The sequence below is a fragment of the Homo sapiens genome, chromosome 19, assembly GCF_000001405.40.
Source record: "Homo sapiens chromosome 19, GRCh38.p14 Primary Assembly".
Classification (NCBI taxonomy): domain Eukaryota; kingdom Metazoa; phylum Chordata; class Mammalia; order Primates; family Hominidae; genus Homo; species Homo sapiens.
The window spans coordinates 49,170,032-49,190,991 of record NC_000019.10 but is presented as its reverse complement, the minus strand read 5'-3'; the positions used below and the strand labels follow the sequence as shown (position 1 = coordinate 49,190,991).

Sequence of the window (20,960 nt, the reverse complement as noted above, 5' to 3'; positions counted from 1 at the left end):
TTCCTGAGGGCTCACCAGCCGCAGATGCCAGCACTATGCTTCCTGTACAACCTGCAGAACCATGAGCCAATGAAACCTCTTTTCTTTATAAATTACTCAGTCTCAGGTTTAGCAACTTTGTAGCAACTCAAGAGGGGACTAACACAACGTGGAACTGGCACATGTCCTGAACTGCCCAGGGTGTCCCCACCTCACACAGTGCTGGAGGCTCCACTCACCCGACAGGCCCTTCCCCATTAATGACACTATCCATGTCAAACTCTAGCTCCTCCCGTGTGGGCTCCTCTTCTGATTTCCTAGCAAGGGGGGAAGCACAGAGCAAGAAATGAGGGGAAGAGAAGGTGGAGAGGCATTCTCCAGCAAAACTCAAACTTCTTCACCCGGAGACATGGCAGAGGGACAGAGAGGTGGTCTCCTAAAGTCATCCCAAAGGGACCTTCCCCCAGAGCCATGGCCAGAAAGGCAGAGTAACTGCCACTAGAGATACCACAGGGAGGATCCCCCCCAAAACTCACCTCCCACAGCACTCCCTTAGTGGAGGGACAGAGAGTCCCATTCCTAGGGAAGGGACACAATGGGCCGATGAGGGAAGAAAGGTGGGCAGAGGGGGCAGGAAGGAGAAACTGAGCACCCCGCCCCCATCCCCACCACTCTCACCCCAGGGTACTGACCTGAAGGTGATGAGGCGGGTGTAGATGAGTGGAGGGCAAAAGAAGGCGAGAACCAGGGCCCAGATGGGTGTAGTGCTGGCCATATCTCCCCACCACTTCTGTGTCAGCAGAGACTGTGGGGGGTGGGAAGGATTAGGATCCAAATCTCCCCCACAGCCCCGTCCCTAAGACGCCCAGCAAGGGTTGGACTGCAGCTCCAGAGTACAGAGCAAGTGCCCAATGTCACAGCCACAACTATTGAGGTAGGGAAACGGTGGTGAAAGGCAAAGACAACTTAGGCCAGGTTTTGGCAGTAAACAGTCAACACTTAAATTGACACCATATGGCAGATACAGGGCTAAGCACTTTATGTAGATTAGTCCACCGAACCCTTGACACATAAGGGGGTGGGTACTAGTATCTCCTCCTTGGTACACATGAGGCACAGAGAGGTTAAGGAAACGGCCCAAAGAAACACAGTTTGTATGTGGTAGAGCTGGAATCCATGAGTTTAACCACTATCCACAGCAAGGGACTCTGGGTAGCTGTTTGAAATGTCAGCCAAACCATTCCAACAGATGAGGATGGGACTTCCTGTTGGGCACAACTTCCTGTACTAAAGTGGGACTCTGAGCCCCTGTCAGATTTAAACTAAAAATATTGATAATGTTTCCAAAATGTCAACTTGTCAGGATCGGAGAGACTGTGGGAGCAAGTAGGGCTTCCCAAGGCAGATGATTTCCTATAGGAAGGGTGAGATTTCCTAGACCAAAGTTTGTTTATGTCCAAAAAAAAAAAAAGGTAATTGTTCAGTGAGGCCATTCTAACTGCTGAAAACTGAAACTAGGGACCTCTAAAGGAAGTGGAAAGGACTTCCTGTGGATGCCGTAGGACTTCCTGTGGATGAGCTAGGACTTCCTTTGAAAGAAATGGACTCTTCCCTGAAAGCGGGAAGGACTTCCAAGGTTAAAGGTGGAATTTCCTGACAGGGTCACAAGGAGTTTCTCTATCTGGAGTGGAACTTTTTAGGAAGATGGGCTTTGCCGTGGGAAGGTTGGCTTTTGGTGGAAGGGAGCGGGGCTTCTTATGGGAAGAGCAGCCTTTCTGAGAGAGAAGAGAGACTTTCTGGGGGATCTCCAGGGAGAGTGGCTGGTCAAGACCATAGATGTTCCCAATGGCAGGGGCTCATCCCCATACTTCCCAGAGTCCACTTGGAGACTGTTTGGGATGTTGGTGTCGCAGATACTCACCTGTACCCCATCCTGGGCAAAGAAGGCACGGGCGTCAGCTTGCATGGCCAGCTGGAGGCAAGTGGCATCCCCCCAGAGCGGGCAGCGACGGAGGAGGAGGCGGGCAGCCCTCACCTCACTGCTGCGATAGCACTCGCCAAAGAGGTCTGGGGCAGAGGAGTTAGTTATGTGACAGGGATGGGAAGGAGTAGGGTGAGGGTGTGAAGGGAGAGGTAAGGGAATTTAAGGGGATGGCGCAGGGATATGTGAGGAGTGCGGAGTTGCACATCCCCCTCTGGCGGCAGCCCCCGTCCCTGCTCCCAGGCACCGTGCCCCACGCACCAACGCCCATCCCCTCAAACTTGAACGCCAGGTCTTTCCTCCGTGCTGCCTCCTCAGCGTCAGGCTCCAGGCGTGCCATCACCCGGAGCAGCAAACAGGCCCCAAGAGCTGAGGAAACTGCATTGGAACCCTGGAGAGACAAAGAGGGCACGGATGCGTCAAAGAGGGTTCATAGAGGGGGAGGAAGCCTGAAGTCAAGGGAAGGAACAGAGTCAGAGGTCAGAAACTAACTGGGGTCATCAGAGGCCAAGGATGAAGTAATGTTTGGAGATGGATCTGGAAGAAACTGAAAGTCAGTTGAAAATGCCAGAAGTCAGGTGGTTCAGAGACCAGGGATGCAAGTCAGGGGCTGGGCTGCAGTTAGAATCAATTCAGCAGTCACAGACAGGTCAAGAAGCAGTTGGAGGCTGGGTAAAGTGGCTCACGACTATAATCCCAGCACGTTGGGAGGCTGAAGTGAAACCACCTTTGCAAAAATGATAACTGAGAAAATTATGACAATGAAAGAAATCAGACCTAACCGACTCCATCTTGCTTCTAACCCTTAAGCTGTCCTCGCTCATTCCTGGGCATAGGCTGAACTAACTTTGGGAAGGAATTCTGTTCATGGTTTGACTCTGAAACGAAATTGATAATAGCCCTTTCCCCAAAGACCCCCATCTTGCCTGGGGACCAGTCTACCTTTGCAGGACTAACAAATTAGCTACAAGATTAGAAATTAAGTTTAGGGGTCACGCAGCCTCTGGCTCCCCCAATTGCTCCTGGGGATAACATCATTACTGTAACACCTAAGATGAGTGCTTGAGATAGTTTGCAGACCCTGCACTGGATGGATCAGCTGACACCACCCAGACTGTAGTCTGGCTCAACCAGTTCTGCCATCCCACCCAGGAACAGAAAACAGCAAGAAAAACCTCACTTCCAACCCCTGTGATTCCATCTCCAACCTGACCAATCAGCACTCCCCACTTCCCAAGCCTCTACCCACCAAATTATCTTTAAAAGCTCTGATCCCTGAATCCTCGAGGAGACTGATTTGAGTGATAATAAAACTGAGGTCTCCCGCACAGCCGGCTCTGCGCGAATTACTCTTTCTCCATTACACTTTCCTTGTTTTGATAAATCGGCTCTGTCTAGGCAGCGGGCAACGTGAACCCATTGGGTGGTTACAAATGAGGAGGATTGCTTGAGCCCAGGAATTCAAGACCAGCCAGGCAACATGGTGAGACTCCATCTCTACAAAATTTTTTTTTTTTTAGTTAGCCAGGCGTGGTGGTCTGCTTCTGTAGTCCCAGCTACTAGGGAAGCTGAGGTAGGAGGATCGAATGAGCCCAGTAGGTTGAGGCTGCAGTGAGCCATGATCATGCCACTGCACTCCAGCCTGGATGACTGAGGAAGACCCTGTCTCTAACAATGAAATTTTTAAAAGCCCTTGGAGAGGTGACCAAAAATGCCAGTGTAGGGAACTTCAAAACTTTATCCCTCCACAAAAGCAATCAATAGCTATCAAAAGTTGTCAGAATCAACTTTTCTAGAATTCTGGAATCTAATCGAAAACTTATAAAAAAAAAAAAACAAGAAAATGCTTAATGAAGAGACCACTAAATTTCAGTAAGAGGGTACTGTGACATTTTAACCTACCCACTTACTACCCCCAGCTCCCCAGTTCAGTGGCAACCTTGAAGACAAAGACACACATTCCTGGTGTGGGTCGCTAGTACTAGAGGGAGCAATTCAGACTTACCCTCCAGAATTGTGGTTGTGTGTGTGGCCCTATCTGGTGGCTCCCTGAAGCAACAGCTCAAGGACTTGACTTTGCTTCACCTGCCTTAGAGCTTTCCCCAGAGAAAAAGTGGCTTTCCAGGCAGTGTGTGTTAAAATCTTTTTTTTTTTTTTTGAGACGGAGTTTCACTCTTGTTGCCCAGGCTGGAGTGCAATGCTGCAATCTCAGCCCACCACAACCTCTGCCTCCGAGGTTCAAGCAATTCTCCTGCCTCAGCCTCCCGAGTAGCTGGAATTACAGATATGCGCCACCATGCCAGGCTAATTTTTTGTGCTTTTAGTAGAGATAGGGTTTCTCCATGTTGGTCAGGCTGGTCTCGAACTCCTGACCTCAGGCGATCCACCTGCCTCGGCCTCCCAAAGTGCTGGGATTACAGGTGTGAGCCACTGCACCCGGCCTGTTAAAATCTTTTAAAGGCAAATGAATTAACCACATCCATCTGAGGCAAGGACTCACAGTAGAGGCAGTAATAGATACACTAAGCATCTTGGGAAGAAAGAGGCCATGAAAGGAAATACTTGGAGGGAATAAGGGCTTTGAAAGTCTTCCTTGTGTACCAGGAAATCCAGACGGCTAGATGCATGACTAGGGCTAGAGGCGTGCTCAGAAAATACCAGAGAAAACCTGAAGCTCTTACATCTGGCTGAACTTTAGGCTCTGCACAAGCAGGAAGTGAAGACTAAAGCAGAACTGTAAACAGCTTGGCTAAGTATTGAAAGACTGCTTCAATATACAGCCACGGTGGGCGTCGCTCATGCCTCTAATCCCAGCACTTATAGGGAGTTTCTTGTTATATTTGCTTCTGTGGTTCTAGGCATTTAAGGATATCTCTGTCAAGTCACCAGCAGACCACTAAGCTAACAGAAGAGGGGCTTCCATGGCCACACATGCAAAGAATACAGACTTTCCAAAAAAGGTTTAGAGAAGTCACTAAACAGGGTGGGCGCGGTGGCTCACGCCTGTAATCCTAACACTTTGGGAGGCCAAGGTGGGTGGATCACCTGAGGTCAGGAGTTTGAGACCAGCCTGGCTAACATGGTGAAACCCCGTCTCTATGAAAAATACAAAAATTAGCTGGGTGTGGTGGCACACACCTGTAATCCCAGCTACTTGGGAGGCTGAGGCAGGAGAATCACTTAAACCTGGGAGGTGGAGCTTGCAGTGAGCCGAGATTGCACCACTGTACTCTAGCCTGGGCCACAGAGTGAGACTCCATCCCCCCTCCCCCCAAAAAAAAGAAAAAGAAAAAAGAAAAGTCACTAAACAAACAACAATGACCCACAATGAGCAGCAGCCACAACAAACCCTGGAGGGAGGGCATAAGCTGATTTCCAGAGTTGCCACATTATCATATTCAAAATGTTCCACTTTTCAACCAAAAATTATGAGGCATGCAAAGAAACAAGACAATATGGTTCATATACTGGAAAAAAAAGAAATTAATAGAGACCAGGCATGGTGGCTCACACCTGTAATCCCAGCACTTTGGGAGGCCCAGGCAGGAGGATTGCTTGAGCCCAAGAATTCAAGACCAACCTGGGCAACATAGTAAGACCCCATCTCTGCAAATTTTTTAAAATTAGCTTGGCATGTGGCTGGTAGACCCAACTACTCAGGAGGCTGAGGTGGGAGGATTGCTTGAGTCCAAGAAGTCAAGGTTGCAGTGAACTTTGGTCAAACCACTGCAGTCCAGTCTGAGTGACAGAATGAGACTCTGTCTCAACAACAACAACAAGAACAACAAATAAATAAATAAAAGAAAAGAAATGAAATGAATAGAAATGAGTAGGAAAAAAATAAATGAATAGAAACTATCCCTGAGGAAACTCAGACACTGAACTTACTAGCAAAGGCTTTAAATAAATTGTCTTAAATATGCTCGAAGAGCTAAAGGAAATCATGAAAAAAGAACTAAAGGGAGCCAGGAAAAAGATGTCTCACCACCTAGAGAATAAGAATACAGAGATAGAGGCAGGGTTTCCTGAAACTGGGTTAATTCTTTATAGAAATGTGAACACTGAATTTATTTTTTTAAAAATAAAAATTAAAAAAAAAAGAAAAAAACACAGAAAACATCTTATCTGTATATAGGTCTTGAGTGAAGTGGCTGCTTTTTTTTCTGCTTTTTGTAGAAGAGATTGAGAATGGTACTGTAATCAAAAATAAAGTTTTGTAGTGGGACCAGGAAAAAAAAAAGACAGACTACAGAGGCCGGGCGCAGTGGCTCACGCCTGTAATCCCAGCACTTTGGGAGGCCGAGGAGGGCAGATCACGAGGTCAGGAGATCGCAACCATCCTGGCTAACACAGTGAAACCCTGTCTCTAAAAAAATACAAAAAAATTAGCTGGGCGTGGTGGCGGGCACCTGTAGTCCCAGCTACTTGGGAGGCTGAGGCAGGAGAATGGCGTGGAGGCAGGAGAATGGCGTGAACCCAGGAGGCAGAGCTTGCAGTGAGCGGAGATTGAGCCACTGCACTCCAGCCTGGGCGACTGAGCGAGACTCTGTCTCAAAAAAAAAAAAAAAAAAAAAAAAAAGACTACAGAGACAGAAATGAACCAAATAGAAACTCTGAAGCTAAAAAGCACAATAACTGAAATATAAAAACCACTAGAGGGACTCAACAGTAGATTCATAAAAAAGGCAAAATAAAGATCAGTGAATTTGAAGCTAAGTACATTGAGATTATCCAGCCTGAGGAGAAAAAAGAAAAACAAATGAAGGAAAATAAGCAGAGCCTAAGGGACTTGCGAGACACCATACAGAATATTAATACATACATAATGAGAGTCCAAAAGGAAAAGAGAGACAGAAAGGGAAAGAAATAATATTTGAAGATATAATGTCCTAAAAACTTCCAAAATGTGATGAAAGACAAAAGTCTACACATCCAGGAAGCTCAAGGAACTCCAAGTAAAAGAAATTCACAGGCCAAGCACAGTGGCTCACGCCTGTAATCCCAGCACTTCGGGAGGCCAAGGCAGACAGATCACAAGGTCAGGAGATCAAGACCACGGTGAAACCCCATCTCTACTAAAAATACAAAAAATTAGCTGGGCGTGGTGGCGGGCGCCTGTAGTCCCAGCTACTCGGGAGGCTGAGGCAGGAGAATGGCATGAACCCAGAAGGTGGAGCTTGCAGTGAGCCGAGATCATGCCACTGCACTCCAGCCTGGGCAACAGAGCAGGACTCCATCTCAAAAAAAAAAAAAAAAGAAAAAGAAAAAGAAATTCACAGAGATCCACACTGAGATATATTATCAAAGGCCAAAACAAAGAGAGAATCTTGGCCAGGCACGGTGGCACATGCCTGTAATCCCAGCATTTTGGGAAGCCGAGGCGGGTGGATCACTTGAGGTCAGGAGTCCAGCCTGGCCAACATGGTGAAACCCCATCTCTACTAAAACAAAACAAAACAAAACAAAAATTAGCCAGGCGTGGGGGCAGGTGCCTGTAATCCCAGCTACTCCGGAGGCTGAGGCAGGAGAATTACTTGAACCCGGGAGACTGAGGGTGCAGTAAGCCAAGATTGCGCCACTGCACTGCAGCCTGGGCGACAGAGCGAGACTCTGTCTCAAAAAATAAACACATAAAATAATGCATGATGTGAGAGAGAGAAAAGAAAGAGGAAGCAGTTGGAGGCATATATCAGCGACGGAGGATGGGGCGCCTGTCAGGTGACGTCAGGGGTCGGGGAATTGTATGGTAATTGTTTCGGGAACACTGGCATCCAGTGGCCTAAAGGACAGGGATGCAGGAGCGCCAAGTCAGCACTCACCATCTCCCAGAAGTACATGGCCATCTGTGCCCTGTTCAGCAACAGTGCCCAAAGAAGCAGGTCGCTCCAGGGGGCCTGCCCGAGGCCAGCATCCAGCGAGAGCGGCGAGGTGGCCTTGTCCGAGAGCAGATACATCTGCCAGCAAAAGGAGGGGTGGTGAGGACCAGCCCCTCCCCAACACTGGCCACCACCAGCCCTGCCTCTGGTTTGGCCACGCCCCATCCCTGATGTAATCCCGCCCCCAGGTCCTTCCCGCGCGGGGGGGCCCCCCAGCTTTGCCCGGTCCTTACGCTCTCCCCGAAGCCCTGGCCTGGGTGAGGGTCCCAGGCGCCCCCGGAGGGGTACCTCGGCGCGCACATCTTCCCCAGCAGCATCCTCAGCACATGCCCCACGTCAGGGGGCCGGAGCTCCGCAGCTCCCCCTTTTAGGGCTGGGGCTTTGGTGCCTGCGCTGTGGGACGCCTGGTCCAAAAGGTTGCGGATGAGCGAGTTGGAGGGCGCCGCGCTGTAGAGTTGGGCCAGGCGCATCGGGGTCAGGAAGTGGCCCAGGCTGAGGCCGTGGGAAATGAGCAAGCGCACGAACTCAGGCCGGTCATTCAGCAGGGCGTCCATGAGGGAAGCTTCGAGATGGAAGGACTGGCAGGGTGGGATGAATAGGGGAAGAGATTAGCTCAAAGGTTAAGGACAAGAGATGGGCAAGGGTATGAGGGACGGATGGATGGATGGATGGATGGATGGATGGATGGATGGATGGATGGATGGGTGGATGGATGGATGAATGGATAGGTAGATGGATGGATGGACAGATGGATGGATGGGCAGATGGATGGATGGATGGATGGATGGATGGATGGATGGACAGAGGGATGGATGGATGGACAGAGGGATGGATGGATGGACAGAGGGATGGATGGATGAACGGATAGGTAGATGGATGGATGGACAGATGAATGGATGGACAGATGGATGGATGGATAGATGGATGGATGGATGGATGAATGGATAGGTAGATGGATGGATGTATGGATGAATGGATAGGTAGATGGATGGATGGACAGATGAATGGATGGATGGATGAATGGACAGATGGATGGATGGATGGATGGATGGATGGATGGACAGATGGATGGATGGATGGATGGATGGATGGATGGATAAATGGATGGATGGACAAATGGATGGATGGATGGATAAGTAGATGGATGAATGAATGGATGAATGGATAGATGGAGGTACAGGGTGGATGGATGGATAGACAGATGGATGGGTGGGGAGAGAGGAAACAAGATGGGGCAGATGGACAGAGATGGATGGACAATTAAGGGAAGGCTGGACAGGCCATAATGGAAGGCAGGGTTGAGGGGCGTCTAAGAAGGCAGAGAGGCCGGGTGCGGTGGCTCATGCCTGTAACCCCAGCACTTTGGGAGCCTGAGGCGGGCGGATCACAAGGTCAGGAGATCGAGACCATCCTGGCTAACATAGTGAAACCCCGTCTCTACTAAAAATACAAAAAAATTAGCTGGGTGTGGTGGCGGGCGCCTGTAGTCCCAGCTACTCGGGAGGCTGAGGCAGGAGAATGGCGTGAACCCAGGTGGCGGAGCTTGCAGTGAGCTGGGATCACACCTCTGCACTCCAGGCTGGGTGACAGAGTGAGACTCCGTCAAAAAAAAAAAAAAAAAAAAAGAAGGCAGAGAGGGAGGACAGCACAGTCCCTTTGTCAGTATGCCCAACCCCCAGGCCCTGACCCCTCACCCGCCATTGGATGTCCCCCCGAAAGAGTTCACTCTGGGCAATGTCCACGCGGTTCCAAGCCACAGCCAAACGCAGCTCATCCAGGTAGGCTGAGGCCTCCGAGCTCCCACAGGCTGGAAGGATTAGAGGGAGAGGGGACAAGAAGTCAGGGGAGGAGGGACATCTGCTGAATGTCTATTTTGCCTCTATTTTGCATGTCTGACTTTTAAACTCTGCATAAAGGGGTTGCTACTGGGCAGAGTGTGGGGGTCTTAAAGCAGTCAGGCTATCATAGGCATAAGGTCATTTGGCTCAGGGCCAGAGCACAGACCACTGGTTTACAGCCCCCAAGAAGAAACAAAAGGAATCACTTATTCATTTAATATTTATTGAGGTATGTTATGGACCAAGCAGTGGGAGGGATGGAGAGAGAAATCAGATACAGTTCCTACCCTGAAGAAGCTGGTTCTATTGGGGGAAATATGTCCCCCCAACACATAACTACCCTCAGGGTGCTTGGTGCCCTCAGAGGTAGGCATATAATATGATTAGGATGGATGGATGGACAGATAGAAGGATGGATGGATGGGATGGATAAATGGATGGATGAAAGGATAAAGAGATGGATGAATGAACGGATGGATGGATAGATGGATGTACAGGGTGGATAGATGGATAGATGGACAGACGGATGGATGGGGAGAGAGGAAACAAGATGGGGCAGACGGACAATCAGAGATGGATGGGCGATTAAAGGGAAGGCTGGACAGGCCATAATGGAAGGCAGGGTGGAGGGGTGTCTAAGGAGGCATCTATAGGCATATAATATGATTAGGGCCCAGAGGAGGATATGGTCACAGAGGTATAGAGTGGCCCAAGAGAGCTCCCAGAGAATGGGTGTTGAGGTAGCACTTTGAAAGACCACCAGGACTGGGAGGTATGCCCCTAAGGTGCGAAAAGGGCGTTCAAAGCAGCAGGCACAGCAGAAGCAAAGGCCCGGGTGCAACACACACACACACACACACACACACACACACACACACACACACACACAGCAGATGATGACAAACGTGAGTCACTCTGATTTCTGAAACTTGGGGTATATTGTGAAGGGAAAGAGGTGACAACAGCAGAAAATGAGAACAGGAGAGGGACTCCGAGAGACCCTGGAGGTCACTGAAACAGCAAGAGAGAACCAGAAACCCTTAAAAATTTGATCCAGCTATGTAGTGGATCCAAACATGTGCAGTCAACAGGGGCATGAAAAGTCCTGAAGGGCATTTGTCGTGACATGGAGTTAGGTTTCCTTCTGCCTCCACTTGCTCCATATCTATCTCCAAAACAAATTCATCTCATTTTGGTTGCTCCAAAAACTGGTACCACAGAAAGAGATAATCTCATGTAGTGGAGGTGAGCAATAGGCTCTGGGGCAGGCAGACGTGGGTTCCAGTCCCCGGTCCACCAGTACCAACTGAGTGACTTCAGGCAAGCCATTGAACCTTGGGAGCCTCAGTTTCCTCATCTATTAAATGGGAAATAGTGGCACCCCCTTCATAGCACTGTAATCAATTACAGTAACTGTGGGAAGAAGTTCCACGCTGTGGCGACACTACAGCTTGGCCAGTGTAACCTCCAAGGCTGTGCTTGAGGAAACAGAGGCCCAGAAAGGCAGTAACATGTCTAGGACCTCATGGCTTTCTGTGCTCTTTCAAAACCCAGACGTCCATTCAGAGCGGACTTTTCCACGACTTTCTACGATTCTATGAAGCTCTCCTACTTTCCCCACAGTTTCAAAAGAAGGAAACAAAATTGTTCATAATATCTTGCTTTACAGGCCGGGCGCCGTGGCTCACGCCTGTAATCCCAGCACTTTGGGAGGCCAAGATGGGCGGATCGCCTGAGCTCAGGAGTTCGAGACCAGCCTGGGTAACACGGTGAAACCCCATCTCTACTAAAATACAAAAAATTAGCTGGGCATGGTGGCATGCGTCTGTAGTCCCAGCTACTTGGGAGGCTGAGCAGGAGAATCGCTTGAACCCGGGAGGTGGAGGTTGCAGTGAGCCGAGATCACGTCACTGCATTCCAGCCTGGGTGAGAAAGGGAGACTCCGTCTCAAATAATAATAATAGGCTGGATGCTGTGGCTCATGCCTGTAATCCCAACACCTTGGGAGGCCGAGGTGGGCGAATCACCTGAGGTCAGGAGTTCGAGACCAGCCTGACCAACATGGAGAAACCTCGTCTCTGCTAAAAATACAAAATTAGCTGGGCGTGGTGGCTCATGCCTGTAATCCCAGCTACTTGGGAGGCTGAGGCAGGAAAATCGCTTGAACCCGGGAGGTGGAGGTTGCAGTGAGCCAAGATCACGCCATTGCACTCCAGCCTGGGCAACAGAGCGAAACTCTGTTGCAAAAATAATAATAATAGGCCGGGCACAGTGGCTCACACCTGTAATCCCAGCACTTTGGGAGGCCGAGATGGGTGGATCATGAGGTCAAGAGATCGAGACCACCCTGGTTAACACAGTGAAACCCCATCTCTACTAAATATACAAAAAATTAGCCGGGCATGGTGGCGGGCGCCTGTAGTGCCAGCTACTCAGGAGGCTGAGGCAGGAGGATGGCATGAACCTGGGAGGTGGAGCTTGTAGTGAGCCAAGATCGTGCCACTGCACTCCAGCCTGGACGACAGAGCAAGACTCCATCTCAAAAAAAATAAAAAAATAAAAATAATAATAATAATAATACCTTGCTTTATATTCCGCCTTAATCTGGCACCATTTGTCACCTGGGCACTCGACCCTGGCCCCACCTTGTCCCTTCAGACTCACCGTGTTCCATACTCAACTCAGCATCTAGCCCTCAAACCCATCTTCCCTACGTCCTCATCTCAGGAATGGCCCCTCTGTCCACCCAATCAATAAGGCAGACCCGCAGGTACTGTCCTTGTCCCTTCCTGCTCCTCCCATCTCACAGGCCATCAGCCCCCAAGCTTCATGTCCCACGTCCAGCCTCCTGACTCTCTGCTGAGCCTCCCCGACTGTCCTCCTGGCCCCAGCTATAGCTCAAGCTTCGGCACCCCCAAACACCATCACTGCAGTCTCTTCTCTCCTCTCCACTCTGCCCCCACCCACTCCCAGAGAGTCTGTTTTTGTTTTTTGAGACAGGGTCTTCGTCTGTCACCCAGTCTGGAGTGCAGTGGCGCCATCACAGCTCACTTCAGCTTTGAGACCTCCCAGGCTCAAGCGATCCTCCTGCCTCAGCCTCCCGAGTAGCTGGGACTACAGGCGCACAGTACCATACCCAGCTAATTTTTTATAGACATGGGGTCTCACTATGCTGCCCAGGCTGGTCTCAAACTCCTGGGCTCAAGCGAACCTCCTTCCTTAGTCTTCCAAGGTGCTGTGATAATAGGCATGAGCCTTCACGCTTGGCCAGAGAGTCTTTTTTATCCACATAACGGACCCTGGTCCTCTGCTGCCTCTCAAGGACAGCCTTAGCCCCTCTGCCTGGCATTTGAGGTCCTGGGTGGTTTGGCCCTACCTGCCTCACTGGCCTTGTCTCCAACACTCCCTTCATGCCAATGATACATACCAACCCTGCGAGCCTCTGACCTCTCTCCAAACATGCCCCTTGCAATGGGCTTGAGAATTATACAGACTCACATGAAAAGCCTGACCCCTGCTACTAGCTGGATGACCCTGGGCAAGCCATTTTTCCTCTCTCTGAGCCTCAGTCTCTTCATCTGCAAAATGGGGTGATAATCCTTGCAGGCAGGGAAGGGAGATGAAGGGCAAAAGAGTACACCAACTGCCCAGCACTGGGCCTGCCTATGCTAGACTCTTAGGAAGGATTCATGGGCCAGGGGTGGTGGCTCACACCTGTAATCCCAGCACTTTGGGAGGCCGAGGCAGGCAGATCACGAGGTCAGAAGGTCGAGACCATCCTGGCCAACATGGTGAAACCCCATCTCTACTAAAAATACAAACATTAGCCAGGCATAGTGGCAGGTGCCTGTAGTCCCAGCTTCTCGGGAGGCTGAGGCAGGACAATCGCTTGAACCCGGGGGTTGCAGTGAGCTGAGATCACACCACTGCACTCCAGCCTGGGCGACAGAGCGAGACACTGTCTCAAAAAAAAAAAAAAAAAAAAAAGACGCATTCATGACCTTGCCCTTCTTTCTTGCTGAAATTCCATCCATTCAACTCTGCTATCCCCAAGCCTATCAGCCATCTCCAGTTCCCCCAGTGGACTGTGATCACTTCCACTCCTGCTGGGCTTACAACACCACCCCCTCAAACCACATCTTGCAGAGCTGCCGTATTTTCTCCCAGGAGGCTGCTGAGTTAACTTCCGCAGAGTGAATCAGATTTGCCCACTGAGAGTTACCTTATATTGAAGGATGTACCCCCAGAGGAAATGGAATCATATTAAGAGGAGATCCCTCTTATTGGGCCCCCACCGGGACCGGGCACAACTCATACCTTGCCATGGAGGCTTATAACACTCCTGTAAGATATTATCTCCACTTTCCACAGAGAGAAACTGGGGCTCAGAGAGGGGAAGCTGCTTCCTCAAGACCACACAGCAAGAAAGGGCCAAGCTGGTTTGTTTCTTTTTGATTGTTTGTTTTTGAGACAGAGTCTCGCTCTGTCGCCCAGGCTGGAGTGCAGTGGCACGATCTTGGCTCACGGCAACCTCCACCTCCTGGGTTCAAGCGATTCTCCTGCCTCAGCCTCCCAACTAGTTGGGATTACAGGCACCCGCCACCACGCCAGCTAATTTTTGTATTTTCAGTAGAGACAGGGTTTTGCCATGGTGGCCAGGCTGATCTCGAACTCCTGACCTCAAGTGATCCTACCTCAGCCTCCCAAAATGTTGGGATTATAGGCGTGAGCCACTGTACCCGGCCCAAGCTGGTATTTAAATTCAGTTTTGTCTGATTCCAAAGCAAAAATAACTTGCTCTTTCTACCCTACCACAGCCTGTACTATACCTAGCACTTTGGGAGGTCAAGGCAGGAGGATCTCTTCAGCCCAAGAGTTCAAGACCAGCCCAGGCAACATAGGGAGACCCTATCCCTATAAAAAAATTAAAAATAAATTAGCCTGGTGTGGTGGCGCACAGCTACTCAGAGGCTGATGCGAGAGAATCACTTGAGCCCAGGATCTCAAGGCTGCAGTGAGCTATGATTGTCCCACTGCACTCCAGCCTGGACAACAGAGTGAGACTGTCTCAAAAAATACCTAAAAATGAATTAAGGCCGGGCGCGGTGGCTCACACCTGTAATCCAAGTACTTTGGGAGGCCGAGGCGGGTGGATCACCTGAGGTCAGGAGTTCAAAACCAGCCTGGCCAACATGGCGAAACCCTGTCTGTACTAAAAATACAAAAATTAGCCGGGTGCGGTTGTGGGCACCTGTAATCCCAGCTACTCAGGAGGCTGAGGCAGGAGAATCGCTTAAACCTGGGAGGAGGAGGTTGCAGTGAGCTGAGATGGCGCCATTGCACTCCAGCCTGGGCGACAGACAAAGACTCTTTAAAAAAAAAAAAAAAAGAGGCCGGGCGCCGTGGCTCACGCCTGTAATCCCAGCACTTTGGGAGGCCGAGGCGGGTGGATCACAAGGTCAGGAGATCGAGACCATCCTGGCTAACACGGTGAAACTCCGTCTCTACTAAAAATAGAGAGCCCAACTACTCGGGAGGCTGAGGGAGGAGAATGGCGTGAACCCAGGAGGCAGAGCTTTCAGCGAGCCGAGATCGCGCCACTGCACTCCAGCCTGGGCGACAGAGCGAGACTCTGTCTCAAAAAAAAAAAAAAGAAAAAGAAAGAAATAATTAAAATAAGAAAAATAATTAAAATATATACCACACCACAAACATGGGTGGGGAGCTGAGGTAGAATGCTGTATATATTGCCACCGTGTATCTGGGGAGTTTCTATCTTAGTGTGTATTTCCCCCGTAAAATTCTTCTGGCCTAAGCACAATGGCTCACGCCTGTAATCCCAGCACGTTGGGAGGCCGAGATGGGCAGATAGCTTTAGCCCAGGAGTTCGAGACCAGCCTGGGCAACATAGTGAAACCCCATCTCTACTAAAAATACAAAAAAGGCTGGGCACAGTGGCTCATGCCTGTAATCCCAGCACTTTGGGAGGCCGAGGCGGGCGGATCACCCGAGGTCGGGAGTTCGAGACCAGCCTGACCAATATGGAGAAACCCCATCTCTACTAAAACTACAAAATTAGCCAGGTGTGGTGGCGCATGCCTGTAATCCCAGCTACTTGGGAGGCTGAGGCAGGAGAATCACTTGAGCCCGGGAGGCGGAGGTTGCAGTGAGCTGAGATGGCACTATTGCACTCCAGCCTGGACAACAAGAGCGAAACTCCGTCTCAAAAAAAAAAAAAAAAAAAAAAAAAGCCAGGCATGATGGCACATGCCTGTGGTCCCAGCTACTTGTGGGGCTGAGGTGAGAGGATCTCTTGAGCCCAGGAGGTCAAGACTGTAGTGGGTCAAGATCACACCACTGCACTCCAGCCTGAGCAACAGAGCGAGGCCTTATCTCAAAAAAAAAAAGAAAAAAGTTCTTCTGACACCAAAAATGACCCTCCCCACACAGAGCCCTGGGAATCTTCCTGAATACTTATCTGTCCCACTCGTTAGCTTACTAAATCCAAATTCTACTGACTTATCAAGGTCCAGTTTATTTGGTTTATTTATTTAGGTTTTTTTTTTTTTTTTTTGAGACAGAGTCTTGCCCTATCACCCAGGCTGGAGTGCAGTGGCACAATCTGCCTCCTAGGTTCGAGCGATTCCCCTGCCTCAGCCACCCAAGTAGCTGGGATTACAGGTATGCGCCACCCTCCCCAACTTATTATTTGTATTTTTTATAGAGGTGGCATTTCACCATGCTGCCCAGGCTGGTCTCAAACTCCTGGGCTCAAGCGATCTTCCCTCCTCAGCCTCCCAAAGTGCTGAAATTACACGTGTGAGCCACTGTGCCTGGCCAAGGTCCGGTTTAAATGCCAACTTCTCTGGCCAGGTGCAGTGGCTCACACCTGTAATCCCAGCACTTTGGGAGGCCGAGGTGGATGGATCATGAGGTCAGGAGTTCGAGGCCAGCCTGACCAACATGGTGAAACACCGTCTCTACTAAAAATACAAAAATCAGCCGGGCATGATGGCACGTGCCTGTAATCCCGGCTACTCAGGAGGGTGAGGCAGGAGAATCGCTTGAACCCGGGAGGCGGAGGTTGCAGTGAGCCAAGCTCGCACCACTGCACTCCAGCCTGGGCGACAGAGCAAGACTCTGTCTCAAAATACACACACACACACACACACAACTTTTCCTTGAAGTTTTCCTTCTAACGACAGTGATTCTTGCCTGTGCTTCTGTCTTAAATTTTACCTAAGGTTGTATCCAAACAATCCTAGTGGGATCTGGGGTCTTTGAGAGCAGGAAATGGGTTGGCTTTAGTCTCTGGAGCCTAGGATTGTATTTGTTGACTAAATAAAGGAGGCTGGCATGGTGGCTCATGCCTGTAATCCCAGCACTTTGGGAGACTGAGGCAGGAGGATCAGTTGAGGCCAGGAGTTCATGACCAGCATGGGCAACAGAGCAAGACCTCGTCTGTACAAAAAAAAAATTTTTTTTTTGTTTAATTTACCAGGTGTAGTGGTGGGCGGGTATGTTCCCAGCTACTTGGAAGGCTGGGGTGGGAGGATCACTTGAGCCTGGGAGGTTGAGGCTGCACTGAGCCGTGATCACACCACTATACTCCAGCTTGGCCTACAGAGCAAGACCCTGTCTCAATAAGTGAATAAATAAATAAGACCCTCCCCAGCCTCTCCCAGGTGTGCATTATGCTCCCCCGCCTTGGTTTTCATCATTCCGTCCTCCAAGCTGCCATTTCTAGTGAAATATCTGGACTTCCTCACTGGGAGACAGTGCTTTGGTTCATGTCTAGCCAGAGTGCTTCATGTATATTGGAAGCATGTAGGGAAGGAAGAATGGGTGGGTGGATGGATAGATGGAAGAACAGTTGGATGGATGAATGAAAAGATGGATGGGTAGATGGGTAAATGGATGGAAGATGGGTGGATGGAGGAATGAGTGAATGGAATTGTCAGTGGATGTGTGGATGGACAGGTGAGAAGATGGATGGATGGAGGAATGAGCGGATGGAATTCTCAGGAATTGTCAGTGGATGTGTGGATGGACAGGTGAGAAGATGGATGGATGGAGGAATGAGTAGATGGAATTCTCAGGAATTTTCAGTGGATGTGCAGATGGACAGGTGAGAAGATGGATGGATAGAAGAATGAGCAGATGGCATTCTCAGGAATTGTCAGTGGATGCATGGATGGACAGGTGAGAAGATGGATGGATGGAAGAATAAGTGAATGGAATTGTCAGTGGATGTGTGGATGGACAGGTGAGAAGATGGATGGATGGAAGAATGAGTGAATGGAATTTTCAGTGGATGTGTGGATGGACAGGTGAGAAGATGGATGGATGGAACAATAAGTGGATGGAATTGTCAGTGGATGTGTGGATGGACAGGTGAGAAGACGGATGGAGGAATGAGCGGATGGAATTCTCAGGAATTGTCAGTGGATGTGTGGATGGACAGGTGAGAAGACGGATGGAGGAATGAGCGGATGGCATTCTCAGGAATTGTCAGTGGATGTGTGGATGGACAGGTGAGAAGATGGATGGATGGAAGAATGAGTGAATGGAATTGTCAGTGGATGTGTGGATGGACAGGTGAGAAGATGGATGGATGGAGGAATGAGTGGATGGAATTCTCAGGAATTTTCGGTGGATGTGTAGATGGACAGGTGAGAAGATGGATGGATGGAAGAATGAGCAGATGGCATTCTCAGGAATTGTCAGTGGATGCATGGATGGACAGGTGAGAAGATGGATGGATGGAAGAATGACTGAATGGAATTGTCAGTGGATGTGTGGATGGACAGGTGAGAAGACGGATGGAGGAATGAGCGGATGGAATTCTCAGGAATTGTCAGTGGATGTGTGGATGGACAGGTGAAAGGATGGATGGATGAAAGAATGAGGGATGACTGGAAGGATGGTAGGTAAAGAGATGGAAAGATCGATCTGTACATGTGGATGGATGGAAAGATGAAAGAATGGATGGATGGATCCAACAGAGGAAAGCAGATGCTGGAACATAATGAAAGCATCTGGGAAAACTGCCCAAATAGCACCATGCAAAGCCCCAAAGGGGAAAAATATTAAGAGGGGTAAAGGGGGCATGGGCCTTGGATTAGAGAGGGTGGATGAAGTGCCCAGGCCAGGAAAGGTGTCTAAGGTTGAACTGAGAGAGGGGGAAGACTGGAGGGTACAACTTTTACCCTTCACAAGGGCCTTCAAAACTATGGTCTCGAATTCCTCAGACCCATCCTCAGAAGAATAGACTGTCAGGAGCTCCTTCCGGGTCATAATCCTCTCCACCTGTGGAATAGCCAGTTCTGCATCCCTAGCCCGCCTCCATCCCCAACTCCTGTTGGGCCCTGTCCAAAGGGATGGAGGAGGCCATTCCCCTCCAGGACCTAATAGTCTATATGCCCAGCACCCTCTTCTCCCGGAACCTGGAAGTCCAGGCCCCCAGCCCCTCCTCCCTCAGACCCAGGAGCCCAAGTCCCCAGTTCCCTCCCATCTCAGGATCCAGAGTTGGGCCCCCAGTGTCATACCTGGGCCTGCAGGACCTCAAGGTCCCCTTTGGGAAAGAAACGCCTGATTCGATCTCGGGCTTCGCCTTGCCTGGCTCCCCCACTCCCTGGGGCCAGAGTGTCTTCCAGGGTCTCCGCCAGGCAGTCCGCAGCTCCCCCTGAGCCAGCCACGAGGAGACATGGGAGCTGAGCCTGGGTGGCGTTCTCTATTCGCTACAGGATAAAGGCATTCTTTATTCATCACGTCAGAAAAGGCAGGATATTCACCCTACCCGGAGTCAGACCCCCAGACCCTCCCTAAGACTCAGGACCCAGGAGTCCTGGCCCCCAACCCTCCTTCCCCCTTAGATCCGGGCATCCGGGCCCCTATACCGTCAACATCTTCTCATCACCATCAATCAGGAGGAGCAGGACAGGGATGTCAATTCCAGTCCCTGAGGCAAGAAGAGAAGGGGGCTTGATTACCTCCCATCAGCCTTTGCTGGAGATAGGAGAAAACCGCATTTCCCAGGAGTCGGCAAACATCAGCCTTGTCCTAATCTTCTGTTCAGAGGCTCATTGGAATTGTCATTTCTTTTTTTACTTAATTATGTATTTATTTTAGAAATGGGGGTCTTGCTATGTTGGCCAGGGTGGTCTCGAACTCCTGGCCTCAAGCAATCCTCCCAACTTGGACTCCCAAAGTGCTGGGATTATAGGCATGAGCCACCGCATCAGCCTAATTTCTGAAACAGGGTGTCACTCTATCGCCCAGGATAGAGTGCAGGGGCATGATCACACCTCACTACATCTTGATCCTCCTACTTTAGCCTTCTAAGTAGCTGGGACCACAGGCACACACCACCGTGCCCAGCTAACTTTTTAATTTTTGGTAGAGACAGGGGTCTTGCCATCTTGCCCAGGCTGGTCTCGAATTCCTGGACTCAAGGGATCCTCCCACCTTGGCCTCCCAAAGTGCTGGGATTACAGCTGTGAGCCAGCGCGCCTGGCCAGAATTGTCATGTCTTTGGACACTTCAGGAGGGAGCTAGATTTTGAAGACAGTAATGCTTAACTTCCCCAGGGAGGAGGGGGCTGAGGACCTAGACTCCTGAGTCCCTGAATGAGGCAGGTGTTTCTTGTATGAGTCAATCCTGTCATTGATTAACCATCCAGGAGCCAGAGGGAGTGAAAGTTCAAATAGAAAGTAAAGGAAATGGGAATAGAAAGGGCTATCTAACCACAATATAGATATTTACCAAAATCCAATTGCACCATAAAGATAGCACTATATCGACTCTACTTCCATTAAAATTAGAAACTAGGCCAGGTGCGGTGGCTCATGCCTGTAATCCCAGCACTTTGGGAGGCCGAGGCGGGTGGATCACCTGAGGTCAAGAGTTCAAGACCAGCCTGGCCAACATGGTGAAACCCCGTCTCTACCAAAAATACAAAAATTAGCTGGGAGTGGTGGCTCGTGCCTATAGTCCCAGCTACTCGGGAGGCTGAGGCAGGAAAAACGCTTGAACCTAGGAGGCAGAAGTTGCAGTGAGCTGAGATCACGCCACTGCACTCCAGCCTGTGCACAGAGCAGGACTCCCTCTCAAAAAAATAAATAAATAAATTAGAAACTAGACCACATTACCACTAACACTGTATTCATCCTGGAGTTTTGAGCTAACTCAATAATGCAAAAAAATGAAATCACTGAAGTGAAAATTGATTTTTTGGTTTTTGGTTTTTTGTAAAGCTGGAAGGGACAAAAGTACCTATTTGAAGAA

General features: G+C 49.9%; 1 protein-coding gene across 8 annotated transcripts in view, besides 2 other annotated features; it reads right to left on the bottom strand.

The window, feature by feature from the left end:
* Nucleotides 1-20,960, bottom strand: part of TRPM4 (transient receptor potential cation channel subfamily M member 4) — a 54,045-nt gene that overhangs the window by 20,845 nt on the left and 12,240 nt on the right. For 5 of the 8 annotated variants that reach the window (NM_017636.4, NM_001195227.2, NM_001321281.2 and 2 more), the window contains 10 exons: nucleotides 19,574-19,635; nucleotides 19,223-19,414; nucleotides 18,884-18,983; nucleotides 9,531-9,643; nucleotides 8,070-8,414; nucleotides 7,780-7,914; nucleotides 2,222-2,351; nucleotides 1,901-2,046; nucleotides 672-784; nucleotides 219-296 (listed from right to left, as the gene is read on the bottom strand). In NM_017636.4, the coding sequence (NP_060106.2) occupies nucleotides 219-296; nucleotides 672-784; nucleotides 1,901-2,046; nucleotides 2,222-2,351; nucleotides 7,780-7,914; nucleotides 8,070-8,414; nucleotides 9,531-9,643; nucleotides 18,884-18,983; nucleotides 19,223-19,414; nucleotides 19,574-19,635 (1,414 nt within the window). Of the gene's footprint in view, nucleotides 1-218; nucleotides 297-671; nucleotides 785-1,900; nucleotides 2,047-2,221; nucleotides 2,352-7,779; nucleotides 7,915-8,069; nucleotides 8,415-9,530; nucleotides 9,644-18,883; nucleotides 18,984-19,222; nucleotides 19,415-19,573; nucleotides 19,636-20,960 lie in introns of those variants that run through there. The other 3 variants (NM_001321282.2, NM_001321285.2, XM_047438993.1) reach the window with 3 other exon arrangements.
* Nucleotides 1,603-2,102: an enhancer, noted in NCBI's record as "H3K4me1 hESC enhancer chr19:49692147-49692646 (GRCh37/hg19 assembly coordinates)". NCBI's record gives its function as "activates a minimal SCP1, AML or CMV promoter by ChIP-STARR-seq in primed H9 embryonic stem cells {active_cell/tissue: H9 hESC(primed)}" and the evidence as "EXISTENCE:reporter gene assay evidence [ECO:0000049][PMID:30033119]".
* Nucleotides 2,103-2,604: an enhancer, noted in NCBI's record as "H3K4me1 hESC enhancer chr19:49691645-49692146 (GRCh37/hg19 assembly coordinates)". NCBI's record gives its function as "activates a minimal SCP1, AML or CMV promoter by ChIP-STARR-seq in primed H9 embryonic stem cells {active_cell/tissue: H9 hESC(primed)}" and the evidence as "EXISTENCE:reporter gene assay evidence [ECO:0000049][PMID:30033119]".